Here is a 25,793-nt window from a genome sequence, read left to right as displayed (position 1 = left end):
AAATCCTTGATACATCTTGAGTTGATTTTTGTATAAGGTGAGAGATGAGGATCCAGTTTTATTCTTCTACATGTGGCTTGCCAATTATCCCAGCACCATTTGTTGAATAGAGTGTCCTTCCCCCTTTATGTTTTTGTTTGTTTTGTCAAAGATCAGTTGGCTGTAAGTATTTGGGTTTATTTCTGGGTTCTCTATTCTGTTCCATTGGTCTACGTGCCTATTTTTATACCAGTACCATGCTGTTTTGGTGACTATGGCCTTATAGTATAGTTTGAAGTCATAATGTGATGCCTCCAGATTTATTCTTTTTGCTTTGTCTTGCTTTGGCTGTACAGGCTCTTTTTTGGTTCCATATGAATTTTAGGATTGTCTTTTCCAGTTCGGTGAAGAATGATGATTTTTTTTTTGTTTTTTTTTGGTTTTTTTTGACAGAGTTGCCCAGGCTGGAGTACAGTGGCACAATCTCAGCTCACTGCAACCTCTGCCTCCTGGGTTCAAGCAATTTTTCTGCCTCAGCCTCCCTAGTAGCTGGGATTACAGGTCCATGCCACCACACCTGGCTAATTTGTTCATTTTTAATAGAGATGGGTTTTTGCCATGTTGGCCAGGCTGGTCTTGAGCTCCTGACCTCAGGTGATCCACCCATCTCGGCCCCTCCCAAAGTGCTGGGATTACAGGTGTGAGCCACCTGGCCCTTATGGTGGTATTTTGATAGGAATTGCATTGGTCATTTTCACAATATTGATTCTACCCATCCATGAGCATGGGATATGTTTCCATTTGTATTGTTATTTGTGATTTCTTTCAGCAGTGATACATGCATTCAGGTCCTTAAGCTCCAGGTGACACCATCTGCACGCAGCACAGGGCTTTAAGATACAAATTAGAGCCAGTTAGAAGACTTACTTCAGTAGTTTAGAGATGAGGTGATCAGAATGGAGAGTGTAGGGTAATAGGTGTAAGTAAACATTTGGAGGCTATCAGGTGGTAAGAGTGACAGCTTTTTTACTTGGGTGACTGAGTTGATGGTGATTTATTTAGCAGGATAAAGAATACAGGGGCAACATAGGGAAACCCCATCTCTACCAAAAATACAAAAATTAGCCAGTCTCATAACCCAATCTCAAAAAAAATTTTTTGTAATAAAAATATCTTTTAAATCCTGTATTCTGTTAATTTTGCTTCCTTCCCTGAGAAGGACATAATATATCTTTTGTTTGTTTGTTTGTTTTTTGAGACAGGATCTCACTCTGTCACCCAGGCTGGGGTGCAGTGGCACAATCATGGCTTACTGCAGCCTCAACCTCCCCAGGCTTAAGTGATTCTCCCACCTTAGCCTCCAAGTAGCTGTGACCACAGATGTGTGCCACTGCACCCAGCTAATTTTTATAGTTTTGGTAGAGATGAGATTTCAAAAACACAAATAAATAAATAAATAAATAAATTTAATTAAATAATGGCTGGGCTCGGTGGCTCATGCCTATAATCCCAGCATTTTGGGAGGCCAAGGTGGGCGGATCACCTGAGGTCAGGAGTTTGAGACCAGCCTGACTAACATGGTGAAACCCCGTTTCTACTAAAAATGCAAAAAGCCGGGCGTGGTGGTGCAAGCCTGTAATCTCAGCTACTCGGGAGGCTGAGGCAGGAGAATCGCTTAAACCCGGGAGGCAGAGGTTGCAGTGAGCCAAGATCGTGCCATTACACTCCAGCCTGAGCAACAAGAGCGAAACTCCATCTCCAAAAAAAAAAAAAAAAAAATTAAATAAAAAAGAGAATGCAGTTTTAGATTATAAGGTGGCAGAAGAACATCCAGAACATCGAGTGGTAATATTCATCGGTATATTAGTTTTAAGTCCTCTGCAAAGCAGATGGGATTTTGATGAGCAAGAGATTTATTTGGAGAAATGCCTGAAAGGGAAAAAGGGAGGATGCAATAAAACTGGGGACAACTATCATACTGCAGTGCTGATGTAGATCTGACCCTGTGCTGGGGGTCCCCAAGATCACCTCCAGGTTCAGAAATCACCTAGGAGGATGCACAGAACTCAGCAAATAGTCGTTTTCATGGCTATAATTTATCCTAACAGGAGGCAAAAGGTACATGGAGTAAATTCCAGGGAAAATCAGACACCAGCTTCTAAGAGTCTTTTCCCAGTGGGGTCGCACAGAATGCACTTAATTCCTCCAGTAACAAGTTGTGACAACATGTGTGAAATGTCTACCAGGCAAGCCCATTAGAAATTCAGTGCCTGGGGTTTTACTGGGGAGATACTGCCTGCCATGTATTAAGATATCAGAGTCTCAAAAGGAAAGCAGATATTCAGAATAAACTATATTGTTTGTATTTGTGACTGGCCTTCTGTTTAGGAGGGTGTCTTTTTCAATCACTGGGTGATGCATCTGTCTCAAGTCCCCATCTTTTAAAAAAAAACTTTTTAAAATTTTCTTTTTTGGAGATGGAGGTTTGCTATTTTGCCCAAGCTGGGCTTGAATTCACGACTGTCCCACTTCAGCCTCCCAAGTAGCTGGGACTACAGGTGCATGCCACTGCACCTTGCCCCAAATCCCCATTTTGCACCACCCATTTTCTCAGACCACTCCTACTGCATGTGTGTTAGTTCAGATCCTCCAAGAAGCAGAAGCTAAGGTTGGATTAGCTGTAGAAGAGATTTACTGGGGAAAATGCTTGTGAGAGGATGGCGGAATGCAGGGAAGAAGTAAGGAGAAGCATCAGACTATGATGCAGCTCTCAGCCCTCCCGGTAAAGGAGAGGGAAAGAGGGTAGGGGAGACAGAGTCTCAGTGCACTGTGTAGTTTTAAGAATGTTTCAGCCAGGTCAATGGTAAAACCTCAGGCCAAGTCACCCACAGAGTCACCTGTGTCTTGCAGCAATGGGCCTTTCACAGTATCCCTGCCATGCTTAGTCCATTAATTTGGGCCAGACTATGGAAAGTGTGGCATGAACCTAAGCATGGGAGTAGATCCATAAGGGCAGCTGTTGGAAGTCATCTCTGTGTTACAATTTTTTTGTTTTTTTGAGACAGTCTCCCTCTGTCACCCAGGCTGGAATGCAGTGGCACAGTCACTGCTCACTGCAGCTTCGACCTCCCAGGCTCAAGTGATCCTCCCACCCACCTCAGCATCCTGAGTAGCTGGGATTTCAGGCATGTGCCATTCAACCTGGCTAATTTTTTTTTTAATAGAGATGACATCTCATCATCTTGCCCAGGCTGGTCTTGAACTCCTGGGCTAAAGCAGTCTGCCTGCCTTGGCCTCCCAGAGTTCTGGGATTACAGGTGTGAGCCACTGAGCCCAGCCCTGTATTAGAAGTTTTGAAAGTGATAGAGATAGTGCAGGGAATAAGTTAAATAGATAAAGAAGTGGAAACCTCCCCATTTTACATGATGTGTTTATTATGCATTGCATACCTGTATCAAAATATCTCATGTACTCTATAAATATATACATCTACTATGTACCCACAAAATTAAAAAGTTTAAAAAAAGTCAAAAGGAGAACCTTTAAGATAATTAATTTTGAAGCAGTGAGCAGAGAAGAAAGGAGCCAATGCAGGAGGCTATATAGTTTTCTGAGAGTTAGGAAAAGACTCAGGTAAGATAGAGTTTAAAGAAGAAGGGAAAATCGAGTTTAAGGTAAATGTTATAAAGAAGTTGTTAGCTTTCTGAGTCCATTTTCAGTGGAGTTCAGGTAACAAATTGGAGTGAGTTGACTAGAGAACATAAGTATATACTACTTTTGAAGATGGGGCAAAATATTTCCGGATAAATAGTGTTTAGTCATGATATATCTTATCTGCTTAACAAATTTAAAAGCAAATGATGTCTTGCTTGTTAAATTTCTCAGAATTCAGCATTATTCTGGCAGACATTCACAAAGAACTGACAAGGAAAGAAGAGAGATTCAAGCCTGGATGAAAAGAAAACGAAAAGAAAGAATGGCAAAGTACTTAAATGAGCTGGCAGAAAAGAGAGGGCAAGAACATGATCCTTTCTGTCCCAGAAGCAATCCAGTAAGTCTGCCATGTCAAGGGTAATGGAATTACAGAATATGTGTAATTACTTTCCTGGCAAAATTTTAAGAAAAAGATTAACATAATTTGGATACATTTGTAATTTGGCATATAGAAAAGTAAATGTTTTACTTAAGTCAGGAAAAGTTAATAAATTATCTTAAAATGTTGCAGCATATTGTGCTAACCAAGTTATACTGAATTATCTTAAATATTTTCTTGTCCCCCAGGCTAATGATGGCTATAGCATTTTAACAAGAGGAGGAGGTTGAGTGATTGGGTGACCAATTGGAGTTCTTCCTTTAATTTTCAATGAGAGTCATTGGCAGTTGCGACAACCAACTATGTGTATTAAAGCCATTTTAAAAACTCACTCTTCTATGCCTGCTCCCTTACTTAGTTTATAAAATTTATTTGCTTAGAAAACTTTGGGAGACCAAAGTGAGAGGATCACTTGTGACCAAGAGTTGAGAGCATCCTGGGCAATATCATGAGATCTCATCTCTACAAAAGAAAAAAAAAAATTAGCCAGGTGTGGTAGCACACACCTGTAGTCCCAGCTACTCTAGAGGCTGAGGCAGGAGGATCATTTGAGCCCAGAAGTTTGAGACTGTATTGAGCTATGATCACACCACTGCACTCCAGCCTGGGAGACAAAGGGCGACCCTGTGTCTACAAATAAAGCAAAAGCTAACAAATAAAAAACCCTTCAATTTTCTGTTCATAAGTTACCTACAAAGAATACAAAAAAAATTATTGTCCAGTCATGTATCAACAGAACAATGTCAGTTCTGTGTGTGTGGTTTTTGTTTTTTTAACTGTTTTTAAAACTCAGCATTTATTTACTGAGCCCTAAATACAGACATAACCAGGCTAGGTCAGGTATATTTTTCTTCAGATGGTAAAACAAAGCACTATTACTTTGATAGTCACATTACTATGAAAATTACATTTAGATTACAGTTTAGATTACAGTTTATCTTTTACTTTGTAATCTGAAATAAAATACAATATCCCTTCATTTTTTTCAGCATCATTAGGATAACAAATTCTTTAGGTGAATTTTTCAGATAAACTGTTCCATTAAAACGCCAAATGGTGCAAAAGTAGGTGAACTATTGTTTAAAGTGTGCAATTTACTTACCTGTCTCTGAAAAGAGCATATTGGTGTTAACGTAACGTTTTCTTGATAGCCCAGGAGACATGGTAGTGACCTTCAGGGCTACTGAGGTACCTGACCAGAATCTTAAAGTGTGTGCATGTGTGTTTGAGAGAGACTGTGTGTGTGTGTGTGTGTGTGTGTGTGTGTGTGTATGTTCCCCTAGCCTAATGTAGAATGGGTTCTGACATTACCTTCTCGCTGTCAGTGAAGTAAATACCCAAGATTGTTAGAATTGTGTCCAAATTTAGAATAAATTGGCTAGGAATAGTGGCTCATGTCTGTAATCCCAGCACTTTGGGAGCCCATGATAGGAGGATCACCTGAGGCCAGGAGTTCAAGACCAGCCTAGGCAACATAGTGAGACCTTGTCTCTACAAAAAAAAATAAGAAAATGAAAATTTAGCCAGATGTGGTGGCACATGCCTGTAGTCCTAACTACTCAAGGTAAGAAGATCACTTGTGCCCAGTTGAGAAGATCATGCCCCTGCACTCCTGCCTGGGCAACAGAGTGCACTCTTGTCTCAAAATAAGTAAACTCTAAGGGTTTAAGAACTGCTTGGTTTATAGATTTTGTGGTCTCATTCAAGATTGCAAACACTTTTTTTGTTTTGTTTTTTAACTTCTATTTGGGTAAAGGGATGGGATTAGTGAGGTGTTAATGTAATTAAAATTTTCATTTGAATTTCTATTAGAAATCAACAAGACCTTTAATTTGCTAGTGACAACTTCTCCACAGGACCTTGAAAAAGTGAATTTACTTCTGAGTGTCCATTTTTATATACATAATTGTGTGTGAAAAGAACCTCACATGTAACTCACACCAATAGTTCTTAATGTTCTGGAATAATACGTATGTGTCTGACATTTGTTGTTTGCCTTCTGGTGTATAACTTGAAGAGTTTATGAGTCACAGTCAATTCACTGTAGTAGGTTTCTGATAAACATTTTAAAACATAAAAATGATAATTTTAAATGTCTAATTTCTGCTTTATTAACAAGCTCTTGGTGAGGTTAATTACAGGATTGAGTACAAAGCATAGGTGCTTCCACCTAAAATGTTCCTACTTTCCATTTTTAGTGCAGCCAAATAAGGTTCTCTCCTAATTAATTCAATAAAATATATTAATTGAACTAGTAAAATAGATTTTGCCTTCCATTTATTAAATTGGTTTATTATTTTTATTTATTTATTTATTTTTTTGAAACGGAGCCTTGCTCTGTTGCCCAGGCTGGAGTGCAGTGGCGCTATCTCAGCTCACTGCAGCCTCCGCCTCCCAGGTAGCTGAGATTACAGGTGTGTGCCACATGCCCAGCTAATTTTTGTATTTTTAGTAGAGACGAGGTTTCACCATGTTGGCCAGGCTGGTCATGAACTCCTGACCTCAGGTGATCCGCCCGCCGCAGCCTCCCTAAATTGGTTTTTACTTTAATTACATGATGTTTTAATTTAACATTTTTATGTTTTATGCTAGAGTAGGAAGCTTCATCAAACACGACAGTGTTTTGTACTGTTTCCTAAATAACAGAATTATGTGTAATGGTTTAATTATTTGGATTGAACAATAATGAACCAACTGGGTATTTTTTATGCAGCTTTACATGACTTCAAGGGAAATAAGGCTGAGACAAAAGATGAAGCATGAAAAAGACAGGTGAGTTTGGTAGCTGTAACCCTGTGTTTTCTCTCTAACTTCCTTAGCTGAGGCATAGATTAATGCCTTAGGAATTCTGTTTTCACAATAGTCTCTTTTTTGTCAATAAACAGAGAATTATGGGAGTTATCACTGCAAGGAAAATGATGAGACTCACTAGCCTTTTTTCAAATTTGCTTTCAAATATTATGTGTTTCATTCAGTTTTTATGACTTTTATTTCTGCTGTTCTCCCTTTCCCAACCCAGATATTTACATGCATTTGGGAAATACTCCAGAGACCATAACTACAAGTACCTTTAATAATACTGCCTAATCATTTTCAGAAATCTGATGAATAGAAGGATGTTAGAAGTGCTGAAGAAAGAAAATGCTAAGTGAAATTAGCCGGGCATGGTGGCCAGGCGCCTGTAATCCCAGCTACTCGGGAGCCTGAGGCAGGAGAATTGCTTGAACTCGGGAGGCGGAGGTTGCAGTGAGCCGAGATCACGCCATTGCAATCCAGCCTGGGTGACAAGAGTGAAACTCCGTCTCAAAAAAAAAAAAAAACCAGAACATGCTAGGTGATCTTCAAACACTATATTCCCTCTGGATAGATGAACTGAAAGTGACTCTTAATAAATGATGCTTAATTCTTTGTCTACAGATTGCTGCTCTCTGAACACTATAGTCGTCGAATCTCACAAGCGTACGGTCTGATGAATGAACTGTTATCTGAGTCAGTACAGCTACCAACTCTACCACAGAAACCATTGCCTAACAAACCCAGCCCTACTCAGTCTTCCAGTTGTCAACACTGCCCTTCTCCAAGAGGGTAAGACAAGGTTTCACATGCCATTTGGCAAGATAACGTCAGGCCTGATAAGAAGAAATGTAGCACTTTCGTGACCTAAGTTCAGTGCATTTGCATTTACCCTGCTTAGAGTTATGATGATAAAGGAAAAAAGTAGCCTCATAATCATGAGGTCTTTATACATTGATAGAATCACCAAGGAAAAAGGCAAAAATTGTGTTATATTTCTCACTAAGCTTACAGAGCATTTAGGTATTCCAGAAGTATGAAATTTGGTATCTGTGCAGTCCTGTTTTATTTAGTTGTTGTTAATATTTGCCTCCATAATTTGCCTTCTAACTGCTCATCCTATTTTCCCATGTGTCATCTTCTCTCTTTCAGAAACAGCCAGTCCCCAGCTGCTTACCACTTCCCTTTCTGCTACCCGCCCCAGACCTGCCCAGTTATGCTCATTCAGCTGTAGCTACTATTATGTATTTTACTTTAATCACCTGCAGAGGGGTTATATATGAGTTAATTAGGCAGGAATTAACTAAACATAGAATGCTGAAGAAAACTACCCAAGTATAAAATTTCTTATATATGGTCAACAAACATGCAAAGTTCTATTAATATCTGTTGGTGATCATAGGGTGAACATGAATTGGAGTACAGTGTTGTTAAGCATCAACACATTTGACAAAATAAATTATTAGAATTGTAAACATAATCACATAATTTAAGAGCCTAGAGGAGATACTACCAACACAAACCCAGATGTAATCAGATCATCTGTGTGTGTAGTGTAGAGTTTACTTCAAATACCAAAGATTCCCGTTGAGACTTTTCTAGAATAAAGCAGGGATTAAATACATATATAACTGCCCAATATATGGAGAATTTGAAATGGAGAGTGAGATAACCACAAAAAAGTTTTGTGAAAAAAAATGAGGTTTGAGGTATGAGATACAAAGAATAATTTGTTGAGAGTTATATGTTAAGTGCATCACTGAGGTACAGACTAGGCAGTATCAAGTGAATATAATCTGAGCTATATTTTGGTCTGTTTTTTCCTTAAAGTAACAGGGTCTTGCTCTGTCACCCAGGCTGGAGTGCAGTGGCATTCACAGGTGCAATCATGGCACACCACAGCCTCGACTCTCTGGGTTCCAGTGATCCTCCTGTCCCACCCTCGCCAGTAGCTGGGGCTATAGGCTTGCACTACTGTGCCCAGCTTAATTTGGGCTTTTTGAAATGTTAAAGTTTATCGCTGATATGAGATTCTGGGAATGTAATAATTATGTGATTTCTACTATAGAGAGAATCAACATGGTCACAGTTTTCTAATAAATCGACCTGGAAAAGTCAAATATATGTCCAAACCGAGTTATATCCATAAGAGGAAGTCTTTTGGGCAACCTCAAGGCTCACCTTGGCCACATGGTAAGACTTAAAGCTTTTTTATAAATTGTCTGATTTGGACCTATTCCTTCTTGTCTCCAAAGTTGTGTTTTCATTAGTAAAAGGTATAAGTCTTAGTAAAAAGGAGTTCTGATTTGAACAGAAGGCGAGGCATTGATAAAGACTTAGCTGTAATTTTTTTTTTTTCTGCTTTGAAGTAAGGCCCTAGGAATCTTCCTAAATGAATGGCTTTTTTTTTCTTTTTCTTTTTGAGGCAGAGTCTCGCTCTGTCACCCAGGCTGGAGTGCAGTGGCGAGATCTTGGCTCACTGCAAGCTCTGCCTCCCAGGTTCATGCCATTCTCCTGCCTCAGCCTCCCAAGTACCTGGGATTACAGGCGCCCACCACCACGCCCGGCTAATTTTTTGTATTTTTTTAGTAGAGACGGGGTTTCATTGTGTTAGCCAGGATGGTCTTGATCTCCTGACCTGGTGATCCACCCGCCCCGGCCTCCCAAAGTGCTGGGATTACAGGCGTGAGCCACCACGCCCGGCCTTGAATGGCTTTTTTTAATTTTTAATTTTTTTGAGACGGAGTTTCACTCTTGTTGCCCAGGCTGGAGTGCCAATGGTGTGACCTTGGCTCACCGCAACCTCTGCCTCCCAGGTTCAAGTGATTCTCCTGCCTCAGCCTCCCAAATAGCTGGGATTATAGGTATGCATCACCATACCTGGCTAATTTTGTATTTTTAGAAGAGATGGGGTTTCTCCATGTTGGTGAGGCTGGTCTCGAACTCCCGACCTCAGGTGATCTGCCCACCTTGGCCTCCCAAAGTGCTGGGATTACAGGCATGAGCCACCACACCCAGCCGAATGGCTTTTTTTTAATAACATTGAACAATCAGGGTATTAGTAGGGTATAACTTTTTTGGGAGTCTGTTTCTTTTGTATATCTGGCTAAAGATATAGGCATTTGAACAAATCAAGTTCTGATAGATTGCAGGATGAATACATCACAGAATAGGAATGCTAAGAAGCTCAGATTGAAATAATGTCATGTTTTTATCCTTTGAAAATTATTTTCCCATTTCAAGATATGTCCATTATTTACACCTTTCTTTAATTGTGCCATATTTGAGTTTTGATTACTTAAGTAAAACATAGTTATTTGTAACATATTTATATATTAACAACGTATTATAATAGCTGACATGTAGTATAAATGTATACATTTAAAAATGTAAAATAGGCCCGGCGCGGTGGCTCACGCCTGTAATCCCAGCACTTTGGGAGGCCGAGGTGGGCAGATCACAAGGTCAAGAGATTGAGACCATCTTGGCCAACATGGTGAAACCCCGTCTCTACTGAAAATACTAAAATTAGCTGGGCGTGGTGGTGTGCGCCTGTAGTCCCAGCTACTCTGGAGGCTGAGGCAGGAGAATTGCTTGAACCCAGGAGGCGGAGGTTGCAGTGAGCTGAGATCGCACCACTGCACTCCAGCTTGGCGACAGAGTGAGACTCTGTCTGAAAAAAAAAAAAAAGTAAAATAACAACTAATTATGTGGCAGGTTCTGTTTACGTTCTTTAATTACAACCCTGTGAGATAGGTGCTATTATGTTCCCACTTTAAAGACAAGGAAACCAAGTCAGAGAAAGCTTAAATAATTGCCCAAGATCATACAACTAGGAAGTGGTAGAGCCAAGATTTAATCCGAGGGTGGGTCTAGAGCCTACACACATAGAACCAACACTTCAGTATGCTGCCTCAATTTAGAAAATTGAAATTTCCATAAATCCCAATTCTTTAGATGAAACCCTTCGTGGTTTGGTTAGCTCTTGGCCTTTTTTTTTTTTTTTTTGAGACACAGTGTGTTGCCCAGTCTGGAGTGCTGTGCCATGATCTTGGCTCACTGCAACCTTTGCCTCCTAGGCTCAAGAGCCATCTCCCACCTCAGCCTCCCGAGTAGCTGTGATTATAGGCGTGTGCCACCATGCCCAGCTAATTTTTGTTTATTTGTTCATTTTTTGTAGAGATGGGGGGTCTTGCTGTGTTGCCCAGGCTGGTCTTGAACTCCTGAGCTCAAGCATCTACCCACCTCAGCCTCCCAAAGTGCCGGGATTACAGGTGTGAGCTATCATGCCTGACCAGCTCTTGGCTTTTTTGATTGACAAATTACAGTAAGAAAATACTGCTCTTTTAAAACTGAAATTTCAAAATAGTGAAACATGCTTATATAAAAAAACTTATTTTGTACCTGATATATTTGCCAGAATTAAATACATATCTAAAATTGTCAAGGTTTTAAAAACCTGAGCCATGGTTTCTTAACATCTGATGAAAAAGTCTTGAATTATATGGAAATATGTCCTCCTGTTATATGTGTTCAATTTCAAGTCTTTATTTTTACCTTGTGCTTTGACGGTTGCTATGGCCTTAGCCCGTCTTTCCGTTAATCTCACCTGCCCTTGCTGGATTATGCTTGAGGAGGTGCTCCTGCTACTCCTGGGCTCAGAAGCCCTCAGCAACACTTATACCCACACAGAAACGTCTAGACCCTCTGCTTGGCCTTCAAGGCATCATCTGTGTGTTTTCCTGCTTCCTTGACCTCCTTTCCCCATAGAACCTGTGCTGCTCAGCAGCTTGTTTTCCAACCACATGCCATGATTTGTGCTCCTTTATACCTTGAATGTCTCACTTCTGTGTGTCTGAAGACATTCCTAATTGTAATTCTTTAGTTCATCCACGCTGATATAATCAATTTAATATTCTACATTCTCATTTCTAAATTGAGGCTAATATTTAATCTGCATGGTTGCTATGAAAATTAGAGATAATGGTGGCTAAAGCAGTTATTTTTCTGTCCTTTGAACCCTTAACCACATGTTTATGTCCCTCTTGAAGCACTACAACAGGTGTCCTGTTGTTGTTACCTGTAAACTTCATGCCCCATACTAGATTAAATGCTTTGCAGCAGTATTCCCTTGCTCATCTTCCTATTACCCCTCATGTTGAACAGATGAAATACTCGAACATTGAACAAATGGATAAATGGAAAAAATGGTTATTGAGCTTTTTGCCTAAGCATAGCTATTTATAAACAAATTATTGTTCAAGGATATTAATAGGCGGGTATTATAGTATTTATACCATGTCAGAGAATAATACCATATGCCTGGCTATTGTCCTGTCTTTTAAGGCAAAGATAAAAGAGGCAGCTTGAGTGCTTGTGGATATTCTAACTTCTCTGCCTCAGTAGAACAGGCTGTGGCTCCCCTTGTTCTTGTGGCCTCTGTCACACCCAGACCCAACCATTTCACCTGGCTACATTCAGAAGTTTCAGGTCCCCCAGTGTTTGGGAGAATGGAGGGAAATCCAGGCAAGACTGATTCCAGACCTTTTCCTAGTCAGTGATACAGATAACCTGAACTCACATAGGTCAAGTTCAGTCATTGCACATGTGGGGAGGTGAGGCTCCATCAAGATTTTCAAATTCACTGTAGTTCATTCGTAAATGAAGAGTTTTTCTGAATATGCTTGGGAGTTTGACTCTATGTTGCTTTCTATCTTGTAAAGCAGTATGTAGTTTTTGGCTAATTTCTTCAGCCCTGCTTCCATACTGTTAGGAAATTTTTTTTTTTTGGACACAGGAACTCATTCTGTCGCCCAGAAGGGAGTGCAGTGGCGTGATCATGGCTCACTGCAACCTTGACCTCCCTGGCTCAGATCATCTTCCCACTTCAGCCTTTTTTTTTTTTTTTTTTTTTTTTTTTTTTGAGGCAGAGTCTTGCTCTGTCACCCAGACTGGAGTGCAGTGGCGTGATCTCACCTCACTTCAACCTCTGTCCTTTAGGTTCAAGCAATTCTCCTGCCTCAGCCTTCGGAGTAACGGGGACTACAGGCTTGCACCACCGTGCCCAACTAATTTTTGTATTTTTTAGTAGAGACAGGGTTTCACCATGTTGGCCAGGCTGGTCACAAACTCTTGGCCTCAAGTGATCCGCCAGCTTTGGCCTCCCAGAGTGATGGGATTACAGGTGTGAGCCACCGTGCCTGGTAGTGTGAGACATCTCAGCCTCTTGAATAGCTGGGACTACAGGTGTGCACCACCACACCTGGGTAATTTTTAAATTTTTTCGTAGAGACGGAGTCTTGCCATGTTGCTCAGGCTGTTCTCAAACTCCTGGGCTCAAGCAATCTTCCCATGTTGGCCTCCCAAAGTGCAAGAATTACAGGCGTAAGCCACCATGCCTGGCCAGGAGTAGTTTGTGTTATTGTTGCTTGTTTTATGTTTAGTTCTGTCAACTACAATACAAAGATTATATGATTAGTAACTGAGAGGCATCTTAGGCATAAAAAAGTAAAAGTCGGCCGGGCATGGTGGCTCACGCCTGTAATCCCAGCACTTTGGGAGGCTGAGGTGGGCGGATCATGTCAGATGATCAAGACCATCCTGGCCAACATGGTGAAACCCCGTCTCTACTAAAAATAAAAAAAAGTAGCCAGGCATGGTGGTGTGTGCCTGTAGTCCCAGCTGCTCGGGAAGCTGAGGCAGGGGAATCATTTGACCCTGGGAGGTGGAGGTTGCAGTGAGTGGAGATCACGCCACTGTACTGCAGCCTGGTGACAGAGTGAGACTCCATCTCAAAAAAAAAAAAAAAAAAGAAATAAAAGTCTAAGTTTTAAATCCTCTAAACTTAGGTTTATATCCCAGCTCTGCTGCTGATTTTTGCCCTCAGATAAGTTATTTGAAACCTACCTCATAGAGTTGTTGAGGATTATATTAATAAGAGATATTGCATAACATGGAAGTAAATGGTTGTTATTAATCTTTGAGTTTAAGAAACTAATCATTCGGTTGATAAAATTTAACTTGGCATTTTGTCTAGGTGTTTACTGCTAAGAGGCTTATTATGTCCCTAGCTTTTCCAGTTGCCAGAGATGTCAAAACACATTTGCCATTTGAAAAAAGAGTATGGCTGTGCTTGAAGGATACCAGGTGTCAAAGCAAAGTATTCCCTTTCTTTGTCTGCACTTAAGTTTTGCCACCTTGGTTCAAACCAGCCACCATTTACTGGGCCCCTACTGTGAACAGGGCTTGGTGAGCAGATTCAAAGCTGATCACCAAGGTGTCTGTCCTCAAATAACTCACAATATATATAAAAATCATGGATGTCTATGGAAGGCTAATAATGTTTGTCTCTCTGTATAGGAACTGCCACTTTCACCATACAGAAAAAAGCTGGTGGAGCCAAAGCAGCAGTAAGAAAGGCTACGCAGTCTCCAGTTACCTTCCAAAAAGGTAAGGGATAAAGAAGATAAAGTTTTTAGACTTAATACTGAATTTTCTTTTTTTTTTTTTTGAGACAGAGTCTCACTCTGTTGCCCAGTCTGGAGTGCAGTGGTGCAATGTCGGCTCACTGTAACCTCCACTCCCGGGTTCAAGTGATTCTCCTGCCTCAGGCTTCCCAGTAGCTGGGATTACAGGTGCCCACCACCGCGCCCGGTTAATTTTTGTATTTTTCGTAGAGATGGGGTTTTGCCATGTTGGCCAGGCTGGTCTTGAACTCCTGACCTAAGGTGATCCGCCCATCTTAGCCTCCCAAAGTCCTGTGATTACAGGCATGAGCCACTGTGCCTGGCCCTTAATACTAAATTTTAAAAAAATTATAAATCACTCCATTTCAAATATAGACTTCAGAATGAAGGGTGTGGCTCTGCGCTGCAGTGGTTCAGAGAAGAAGTTTTGGAGTAGCTTTATGGAATCAAGTTAACCACTTACTCTGTAACCTTACGCAAATTTCTAACCCATTTATGTATTCTTAATTTTCTCACCTGGAAAATACAAGTTATAATAGTGAGGATATATGTAACGACCTTGGTAGGTAAACAGGGTAACTATTATCCATGTCTTACTATGAGAACAGACTTAGAGAAGTTAAATGACCTGTTCAGATCTCCTTAAAACAATAACAATAGTAGCTAACAGGTATAGAGCACTTACTCTATGCCAGGCATTGTGTTCACACCTCATGTGCATTATCTCACTTGATCCTCACATTAAATCCAACAAAATCTGTGCAGTTATCCCCATTGAAAGAAAATAATTAAATTTGGTAGGGATAATGATTTTTTAAAAACCCACTAATTTGGCTGGGCGCGGTGGCTCACACCTATAATCCTAGCACTTTGGGAGGTCGTGGTGGTTGGATCACGAGGCCAAGAAATTGAGACCATCCTGGCCAACACGGTGAAACCCCATCTCTACTAAAAATACAAAAATTAGCTGGGCGTGGTGGCATGTGCCTGTAGTCCCAGCTACTTGGGAGGCTGAGGCAGGAGAATCACTTGAACCCAGCAGGCGGAGGTTGCAGTGAGCCGAAATTGCACCACTGCACTCCAGCCTGGCGACAGAGTGAGACTCTGTCTCAAAACAAAACAAAACAAAAAAACCCCACTAGTTTATATGTACTGTGAAAAATGATGAGAAATATGAAGTAATTAGCCTAGGCTTGGTATTATGCCTCTTTCTCTACTGCTAACTCATTACTTTGTAGATCCGTCATTCAGTTTACCCCATCTCTTTTTACCTATGTCTAATCCATTGTTTAACTCATTTATCAACTTTTTAATGTCTATGGCGGTATTTTCTAGAAGATCTATTGGGTACTTTTTCTACTCTTTCCCCCATGTATGCGTTAAAACCCAAGCTTCTGGTCGTTTGGATCACTTTGAATCCTCGAAGCATCATTTCCTGTGCTTGTGTATTAGTCTGTTCTCATGCTGCTAACACATACCTGAAACTGGGTAATTTAAAAGGAAAGAAGTTTAATGGACTCACAGTTTCACATGGCTGTGGAGGCCTCACAATCATGGTAAAAGGCAAAGGAGAAGCAAAGGCAAGTCTTACATGGTGGCAGGCAAAAGAGTGTATTCAGGGGAACTCCCCTTTATAAAACTATCAGATCTCATGAGAACTCACTATCACAAGACCAGCAGCATGAAGGTAACTGCCCCCATGATTCAATTACCTCCCACCTGGTCCCTCCCACAGCACGTGGGAATTATGGGAGCTACAATTCAAGATGAGATTTGGTTGGGGACACAGCCAAACCGTACCAGCTTCTAAATCCCATGCCAGCTTTTCTCTCTTTCAAAGACTTTCCTTTTTACCCATTATGAATTGTTTTCTAGTCTAGAGTACTCAATAGCTTTTTATTCTTTTCAAAGCAAATATCTAGCAATGTCTAGTTCAACAGATAAAATGCTCCCCAAATACAATGTTACCTCTAAAAACAGTTGAAATTACATGTACCGTTATATTGTTTTGTTTTTGAAAGTCCCGGAGATCCAGGGTTTTGTGTTCTTGAAGTCATTATAATCTAACATGAGGCCTTGCCCATAGAAAGCTGTAGGTATTTGTTTCATTGTTCAATGGTAACCCTGCCTCTGAAAGTTAGAAATGTGTATGACTCCAAGTTTCTAGCTTAAGTGCTTAGCTAGACTGTGACTCACAAATTGACACAAGTAGAGCAGGAAAAGAAGCAGGATTTTCTTTGGGAATGATGGAGGTAATAGGTTTAGTTTTATCATCCAGTTTCAGATTTCTCAGGCTAGACTCTGTAGACACTGTTTGGTGTTATGTTATAAAGAAACTGAGTGTCAGTGCCCACCGTCCTAGAGAAAGAGTACTTCCTTTCTGAGGGAAGCCAGTGTACTTGGCAGCCTGGTTTCTGCTGTGGGGTGTCTTCTTGATCTATAACTTACCTTTCACTTCAGAAAGCTTTCACTGTCCAGTGGGGCAGGTACACTTTACCTTGAAAAGTCTTATGCATGCTCAGTTTCACAGAACTTTTCTCATTATATTTTTATCTCAAATTGGATATCCCAGATAAACCCTGGAAAAATGCATTATGATCTGAAAGGAAGGAAATTACAAAGCCATCTCTAGGTAAAGTAAGGTGAGAGAAACCCAGTGATAGCCTCTCAAGGTTTGTAATACCCCATAGGTGAAGATTTATCCTAAAATGCAAGACTCTTAACTGTAATTTTAGCAGAGTAGGTGGTGGTTTGATTTGTCATTCTTTCTAGATGACAATAATTATGTTCATTTGGACAAAACAAGAATGTCGATGTCTAGATGCCAAATTAATTGTAGCCAAGATGAGTTTGGGATTAGTTGATGTTTGTAGCCTTTGTTGATCTCTAGTCATATCGTGAATACTTGAAGGAATAACTTCAGCACCCCACCTCCACTTGTTCCCATCTACTTTGAAGTGGAAGCCTACTCTTGTGGTTATGTTGCTTAACCACTCATTGGTTTCTCTTTCAGTCTCACTTTTTCTGTTTTAACGGCTGTTTTTTTTTTAACACAGTGTTTGTTCACATATGCATTCCTGTCATCTGCTCGTAGATTTTTTCCTTTATATGGTTTTTCAAAATTTGTTCCTTATTAATATTTACTGAAATAATTATTTTAACATGGAACTTTCAGTGGCATTTCAAAATACTCTGTGATGTCTTTAAGTAGCAGAAAAAATGTCAAACCTTTTCAACTAGAGCATAGCTCTCACATTGGATATTACAGTGGCAGGTGCTACCAAATGATGTTAGCTTTGTTTCTTTTTCAGACTCTTGGGGCTAGTCAAAAGAAAAATCCCTAAGCTGTCTGTACCACTGCACCCTTCCCTTTGGCACTAATCCAGGAAGAAGCTTTTGGAAAGCTGCCACTTTGGGGATCCAAATTAATAGATCTATTCATATTTTACTTATAGATATGAAGATGATCTTAAAGGGCCCTCTAAGTATTATTCTTCCTTCACCCTATAGAAAGTTAGGCCGGGCACGGTGGCTCACGCCTGTACAATCCCAGCACTTTGGGAGGCCGAGGCGGGCGGATCATGAGGTCAGGAGATCAAGACCATCCTGGCTAACACCGTGAAACCCCGTCTCTACTAAAAATACAAAAAAAAAATTAGCTAGGCATGGTGGTGGGCGCCTGTAGTCCCAGCTACTCGGGAGGCTGAGGCAGGAGAATGGTGTGAACCCGGGAGGTGGAGCTTGCAGTGAGCCGAGATCATGCCACTGCACTCCAGCCTGAGTGACAGAGCGAGACTCTGTCTCAAAACAAAAAAAGAATAGAAAGTTAATACATTGGCCGGGCGTGGTGGCTCACGCCTGTAATCCCAGCACTTTGGGAGGCTGAGGCAGGCGGATCACGAGGTCAGGAGATTGAGACCATCCTGGCTAACACGGTGAAACCCCATCTCTACTAAAAATACAAAAAATTAGCCGGGTGTGGTGGCGGGTGCCCGTAGTCCCAGCTACTCGGGAGGCTGAGGCAGAAGAATGGCGTGAACCCGGGAGGCAGAGGTTGTAGTGAGCCAAGATAGTGCCACTGCACTCCAGCCTGGGCGACAGAGTGAGACTCCATCTCAAAAAAAAAAAAAAAAAAAAAAGTTAATACATTAGCCCAGGTTCTGGGGTGGATCATCTCCATCATCTTGGGCCAATTACATAACCTCTCTAAGCCTCACTTTCCTCATTTGCAAAATGGGGATAATAATGGTTTCTCCATAGGACTGTCAGGAAGAGTATTCACTCAGCAACTGCCCATTGAGTTCCTACTACATACCAGGCACTGTTACTCATGAACAACACAGAAAGCAGCACATAAATAAGGGAGAATGAGGCTGGCTAGGTGGAACTACTCTAGCAAGGGTGGTTAAAGGTCTCTTTGAGAAGGTGAAACTCTTACTCCAGCTCTTAGTATGAAGCAAATTAAAAATTAAATGAATAAAAATTTAGAAAAAGAGAAGGTGATGTTGGAGTGAAGATCTTGAATGATGAAAAGGAGATTGTTAGGTAAAGATAAGGCAAAACAGTTTCAGGCAGAAGTTCAAAGTTCTGGTAAGATTGTTGTATAAAGATAAGGCAGAACAGAAAGTTCAGAGTCCTGGTACAGAAACAAAGTTGGTATGACAGAAAAGATCAGTGTGGAAAGGTGACGAGAGATATGGTGGGAGAGATGGGCTAGATACTGTAGGCTAAGGCAAGGAGTTTGGATTTTACTTGAGATCCAGTGAGACTCCATTTTAGGGAATTAAGCAGAGAGATAATATAATTTATGTTTTAGAACATGTGGAAAGAAAGAACAGAAGACGGCATACAAGGATAGATTGCTTGGGCTAGGGTTTTAACAATGGAGATGGGAGGAAACTATTTGATTTGGGATGTATTTTGAAGATAGACAAAATTAGGACTTGCTGATGGATTGGATGTGGCATGTATAAGAAAGAAGGATGAGGCTGGGCACAGTGGCTCACTCCTGTAATCCCAGCACTTTGTGAGGCTGAGGCAGGCCGATCGCTTGAGGCCAGGAGTTCCAAACCAGCCTGGCCAATATGGTGAAACCCCATCTCTACTAAAAATACCAAAATTAGCTGGGCATGGTGGCGCATGCCTGTAATCCCAGCTACTTGGGAGGCTGAGGCAGGAGACTCGCTTGAATCCGGGAGGCAGAGGTTGCAGCGAACCGAAATTGCACCACTGCATTCCAGCCTGGGGACAGAGTGAGATTCCGTCTCAAAAAACAAAAAAGATATACTGGATTTTAACCTGAGCATTTCCTGGGATAGGGCAGTTTAGGGGTAAAAATTAACAGTGTGGTTTTGGACATGTTAAAGTTCAGATGTTTATTGCACATCCAAGCAAGGATTTTAAGAAGGGGCAATTAGCTTTATGAGACTGGAGGTACAGGTTTTAGAGAGCTGTCAGCATGTAGGTGATATTTAAAGCCATGGAACTAAATGAAGTTAGCTAGGGAGAGCAGAGGTGTGTTAGAAAATCTAAAGACCAGGCATGAATGTCTGGTAAGTTCAAGGGACTGAATGTAAAAGTGCTTATTAGCCTATACTAAATGCCAAAGTGTGTGCTGTGATTATTTTGGGGGCTTTATTTCTTGGAGATATCTTCAGCTTCAAGTACATAAGGTTGGTAGAGTTACAAAAGACAAAGAGGGCCCAAACTTCAGCATTGTCATACCTCTTCTCCCCTCTTCAGGGAGCCACATGACTGCTTGTTTGGGATCTATATTTACTTCCCATCTTGTCCCATGTCTTGGGTGTTTCTTCATGAAATCACCTCGAAGGGTAGAACATGCTGTGATATTGGCTTTGGAACATTGTGTTAGGTGAGGTAGGCTCCTCTAGGGCTTTGTGCAGAGAAACCTTATTGGTTTGTGGGTTTACTAAGCTGCCTCTGGGCATTAGCTGGAATGAAAATTTCTTTTCAACAAATACTGATATATGCAGTAAGAAGAAAGAGGGTCATAATGTATTGTCACCACACTCACTGTGATGCCTTTGCCTAAAGGCAGATTGTAAGCATTAAGCCTGGGTGAAGATGCCCAAAACATTGCTTCTAAGAAGTTTTCACAAGACTTTCTGTAAAAGACAGGGAAGGCCCAGGTCTCAGAGTTCACCCAACTTTGGTGTCAATACCTCTCCACCGTTCTGTTATATCTGTGGCCTCTCCTCCCTAGATTTTCTTGTCTTAAAGATTAATTACTAATAGTTTTCAAATCCAAAGGCTGGAATTCAGTTTCCATCTCGTACAGTGACAGGACAGGAATTGTTCGAACTCTAAAGTGAACCATTTCCAGACCTTGTGATTCAAATATTATTTAAAATGTGACTACCTTGGCTTTGATGATAAAAGTCACAATTAACAAATGAATGAATGAATGAATGAATCAATCCCAATGTGTGCTTTGTTCTTATCCCTTAAAAGGCTCTAATGCTCCGTGTCATAGTCTGCAGCATACAAAAAAACATGGAAGTGCTGGGCTTGCACCTCAAACCAAGCAGGTGTGTGTAGAGTATGAAAGAGAGGAGACTGTGGTGAGTCCCTGGACGATACCTTCAGAAATCCATAAGATTCTTCATGAGAGTCACAATTCCCTTCTACAAGTAAGCATTGTTCTAGATTTTGTTTGTCTAGTGATTGCTCTATGTTCTTCAGGTTTTTTGTTTGTTTGTTTGTTTGTTTTTTAGTTTGTTTTTTGTGGGATGTGGAAATACTGAAAAGTTGTTAGGTCAGTTTGAAATCGTGATGCAAAGCATCTTCCCTTTTGGCTTAGTACTTCAGCATTTGTCTTTCAGACTTCTCTGTGACTGTATTTTTTAACTAAAAAATGACCAAAATGTAAGAACATAAAATCGTACTACAAGTATCAACATCCGTTCTGCCCTGTCTTCACATCTGGTGCCAGCATCTCGTTGTGTGAGATGATGTTCAGCTCTTGTCCATCTGGATGTGCTGGGCAATCACAGCCCTATTTCCTGGCACATTTCCTTCAGCCTTTTGATGGATGAGCAACTCTAGAATTTTTGGAAAGCTTAGTTCACGTTCCAGGTTTTTTTGTTTTTGTTTTTTTGTTTGTTTTTAGGGGCTAGGACCACAATTGTCTTTTCAATTTAATAGGACTTGTCTCCAACTGAAGAGGAAGAGCCAGAGCATCCTTTTGGGGTGGGCGGTGTGGACAGCGTGTCTGAGAGCACTGGCAGCATCCTCAGCAAGCTGGACTGGAATGCCATCGAAGACATGGTGGCCAGCGTGGAGGACCAGGGCCTGTCTGTCCACTGGGCCCTGGACCTGTAAGACCTGGATATCATTGGGTTTCCATGCACAGGCCAGCACCTCAGTAATGTGGTTCTGAAAGATTAACAGGTTTAAGGGACAGAAGCAATGAAAGAAGCAATGTGAATTTTCCATTTGCTTTCATATTATTACCTGGATTAGCCATTACCAGAGGAAAAATAAACATTTCTCAGTAACTTTGCCTTTATGGGGAAAGGGTTGACTATTGATGTATTATATGTTTTTGTATTTGATGCATCATTAGGCATAATTTTTAAAATGATAAGTACCTTTCAAGCCAAGTTTGCATAACCTACTTTCAATAAAAACCCTCTATCTTGCCTCCTCCTTTATTACCCTCTGAGTTTTGAGAAACAACCATATACAGATGAATCTAATAGGAAAAAAAAAAATCTTTTCATTGAGAAGAAAATCAGTCTCACCTGAGAACTCAATTATGAACCCTATTTTAAAACACCTATGCAGGGTTTAGCCTAGGAGTGAAAAGAAAAACCAACTACCTTTTACCAACCCTGAATCTCTAAATAAGCAAAGTTTCATGGAGGCCAGGAGATCTTCTGTCTTCTGCCCTGTAGCCTGAAGCCTTGGAGGAAGAAACAGGAATGGATGCTTTGGGCAGGAAAGTAAGGGAATATGACTCCGGCCTCTAGAAGGCTCATCTTAAATTTGTAAGAACCATGGTACAGAGACCTGATTAGTTTTTGGTATTGTGCTCCAATAATGTCATAGTTTTAAGAGATAATTTTTATGAGAATTGACTAAGAACCAGTATCCTTCAACTACTTCATCAATGTTTGGTATAATATAAAAGCACACTATCATCTGAAAAAGCTATTAAATACCCCTCTTTTTCCAAATATCTACCTGTGTGAAGCCAGGTTTTACAACATGTATTGCAGCAAGTTGAATGCAGAAGCAGGTATGGTAATTCAGCTGCCTTCTATCAAGCTAAACATTAAAGAGATTTGTAGAACTATAAAACAATGCTACTCTCCTTACCAAATTGTTTTAGAAAATAGCTTTATAGGCTAACATTATTGTTAATTGTCATTTAATTGTTTTGTCATTTAAAATATTTTAAATTGTTTTCTGTTAGTTTCTTTTTTGTATATTCTATGGGTATTTTATTGATACATGATAGTTGTACATTTTTATGGGGTGCATGTGATATTTTGATATGTGCATACAATGTGTAGCAATCAAATCAGGGTAATTGGGATATTCATCACCTCAAACATTTATCATTTATTTGTGTTGGAAACATTCAAACCTTTTCTTCTAGCTATTTATCCATTGTTGGATACTTATATCAATTCTATATCTTAGCTGTTGTGAATAGAGCTGCAATAAATGTAGGAGTGCAGATATCTCTTTGATATACTGATTTTCTTTCTTTTGTATATATACCCAGCTATGGGATTGCTAGATCATATGGTAGTTCTATTTTTAATTATTTGAGGAACCTCCATACTGTTTTCCATAGCTGCTATACTAATTTGCATTCCCACCAAGGGTGTATGAGCATTCCCCTTTATCTGTATGCCCACAAGCATTTATTTTCCATCTTTTGCTGGAAATGACTATTCCAGCAATAAATAAATAAAATGACTATTAGTCATTTTAACTGGGGTGCAGCGATACCTCATTATGGTATTGACTTCCTTTTTTCTGATGATTAGTAATATTGAGCATTTTTTCATATACCTGTTGGCCATTCGTATGTCATCTTTTGAGAAATGTCCATTCAGATATTTTGTCCATTTTGTAGTAGGATTCTTTTTTGTTACTAAGTTGTTTGAGTTCTTTATATATTGCGGTTATTAATCCTTTGCTGGATGGGTAGCTTGCAAATATTTTCTCCCATTCTTTAGGTTGTCTTTTCACTTTGTTGATGGTTTTCTTTGCTGTGCAGAAGCTTTTCAGCTTGATGTAATTCTATTTGTCAATTTTTGCTTTCATTGCCTGTGCTTTTGAGGTTTTACTCAGAAAAAATCTCTGCCTAGACCAGTGTCCTGAAATGTTTCCCAAATGTTTCTTTCAAGTAGTTTCATAGTTTCAGGTCTCATATTTAAGTCTAATCTATTTTGGTTTTTATATGTGATTTATACAGGTGTAGTTTCATTCTTCTGCAATAGACATCTAGTTTTCTTGGCAGCATTTATTGAACAGGAGAGTATCCTTTCCCCATTGTATGTTCTTGATAGCTTTACCAAAAATGGGCTGGCTGTAAATGCATGGATTTATTGATAGTTTTTTGTTTTGTTTTTTGTTTTGTTTTTGTTTTTGTTTTTGTCTTTGTTTTGAGACAGGATCTCACTTTGTTCTCCAGGCTGGAATGCAGTGGTGTGATGTTGGCTCACTGCAGCCTTGACCTACCAGGCTCAAGCGATCCTCCCACCTCGACTACCCAAGTAGCTGGGACTCCAGGTGCGCACCACCATGCCTGGCTAATTTTTTGTAGTTTTCATAGAGACAGTGTTTCATGTTGCCCAGGCTCATCTCGAACTCCTGAGCTCCAGTGATCCTCCCGCCTTGGCCTCCCAAAATGCTTGGATTAGAGGGATGGGCCACTGCACCCAACCTATTGATAGCTTCTTTATTCTATTCTATTGGTCTGTGTTTTTATACCAGTTCAGTGCTGTTTTTGTTTTTGTAACTGTGTACTAATAACACATGGAGAGATGGAATTTCACTTTTGTCACCCAGGCTGGAGTGCAATGGCACAATCTTGGCTCACTGCAACCTCCGCTTCCTGGGTTTAAGTGATTCTTCTGCTTCAGCCTCCTGAGTAGCTGGGACTACAGGCGCCTGCCACCATGCTCAGCTAATTTTTGTGTGTGTGTGTGTTTTTTTTTTTAAGTAGAGATGGGGTTTCACAATGTTGGCCAGGCTGGCCTTGAACTCCTGACCTCAGGTGATCTGCCTGCCTGGGCCTCCCAAAGTGCTGGGATTACAGGCATGAGCCACCATGCCCGGCTGAATTATGGTGTATTATTATTTTTTAGACAGAGTTTCACTCTGTCACCCAGGCTGGAGTGCAGTGGTGCAATCTCGGCTCACTACAACCTCTTCCTCCAAGGTTCAAGCAATTCTTGTGTCTCAGCCTCCTGAGTAGCTGGGACTAAAGGCACGTGCCATCATGCCCGGCTACTTTTCTGTATTTTTAGTAGAGATGGGGTTTCACCTTGTTGGCCAGGCTGGTCTCTTAACTCCTGACCTCAGGTGATCTGCCCACTTAGACCTCCCAAAGTGCTGGGATTACAGGCATGAGCCACCACGCCTATCCTGGAGCATAGTTAGAACCCAGTGCAAAGAATCTAAGAACCATGATAAAACTACAGGAGCTGATAGCCAGAATAACCAGTTTAGGGAAGAAGAAAACTGACCTGATAGAGCTGAAAAACTCAACACAAGAAATTCACTGTGCAATCACAAGTATCAATAACAGAATAGGCCAAGTGGAGAAAAGAATCTCAGAGCTTGAAGACTATCTTTCTGAAATAAAACATGCAGACAAAAATAAAGAAAAGAGAATGAAAAGGAACTAACAAAACCTCCAAGAAATACGGGATTATGTAAAAAGACATCCTATGACTGATTGGGGTACCTGAAAGAGATGGGGAGAACAGAATCAAGTTGGAAAACATTCTTCAGGATATCATCCAAGAGAACTTCCCCAACCTAGCAAGACAGGCCAAAATTCAAATTCAGGAAATCCTGAGAACCCCAGTTCTCGAGATACTTTACAAGAAAACCCCAAAACACACCATCATCACATTTGCCAAGGTCAAAATGAAAGAAAAAGTGTTAAGGGCAGCCAGAGAGGCCAGGTCACCTAAAAAAAGTAAGCCCATCAGACTAACATCATATCTCTCAGTGGAAACCCAACAAGCCAAATGAGATTGGTGGCAAATATTCAACATTCTTAAAGAAAAGAATTAACAACCCAGAATTTCATATCCGGCCAAACTAAGCTTCATAAATGAAAGAGAAATAAGCTCCTTTTCAGACAAGCAAATGCTGAGGGAATACATCTCCACCAAGCCTGCCTTGCAAGAGCTCCTGAAGGAAGTACCTGATGTGGAAAGGAAAAACCATTACCAGCCACTACAAAAGCACAC

General features: G+C 40.6%; 1 protein-coding gene across 49 annotated transcripts in view, besides 1 other annotated feature; it reads left to right on the top strand.

Annotated features, from left to right (window-relative positions):
• CPLANE1 (ciliogenesis and planar polarity effector complex subunit 1) overlaps nt 1-25,793 on the top strand; it is a 173,708-nt gene that overhangs the window by 120,103 nt on the left and 27,812 nt on the right. For 41 of the 49 annotated variants that reach the window (XM_017009761.3, XM_011514090.4, XM_047417570.1 and 38 more), the window contains 7 exons: nt 3,865-4,030; nt 6,786-6,844; nt 7,490-7,657; nt 8,934-9,058; nt 14,225-14,314; nt 20,803-20,981; nt 21,496-23,039. In XM_017009761.3, coding sequence (XP_016865250.1) covers nt 3,865-4,030; nt 6,786-6,844; nt 7,490-7,657; nt 8,934-9,058; nt 14,225-14,314; nt 20,803-20,981; nt 21,496-21,672 — 964 coding nt within the window. In that variant the 3' untranslated portion in view covers nt 21,673-23,039. Of the gene's footprint in view, nt 1-3,864; nt 4,031-6,785; nt 6,845-7,169; nt 7,658-8,933; nt 9,059-14,224; nt 14,315-20,802; nt 20,982-21,495; nt 23,040-25,793 lie in introns of those variants that run through there. The other 8 variants (XM_047417575.1, XM_047417572.1, XM_047417573.1 and 5 more) reach the window with 2 other exon arrangements.
• Nucleotides 16,770-16,819: a silencer, noted in NCBI's record as "silent region_15977". NCBI's record gives its function as "represses an Ori minimal core promoter by ATAC-STARR-seq in GM12878 lymphoblastoid cells {active_cell/tissue: GM12878}" and the evidence as "EXISTENCE:reporter gene assay evidence [ECO:0000049][PMID:35858748]".

This window comes from Homo sapiens, chromosome 5, assembly GCF_000001405.40.
Source record: "Homo sapiens chromosome 5, GRCh38.p14 Primary Assembly".
In the NCBI taxonomy this organism is placed as follows: Eukaryota; Metazoa; Chordata; class Mammalia; order Primates; family Hominidae; genus Homo; species Homo sapiens.
This window is presented reverse-complemented; position numbering and strand designations above follow the sequence as displayed.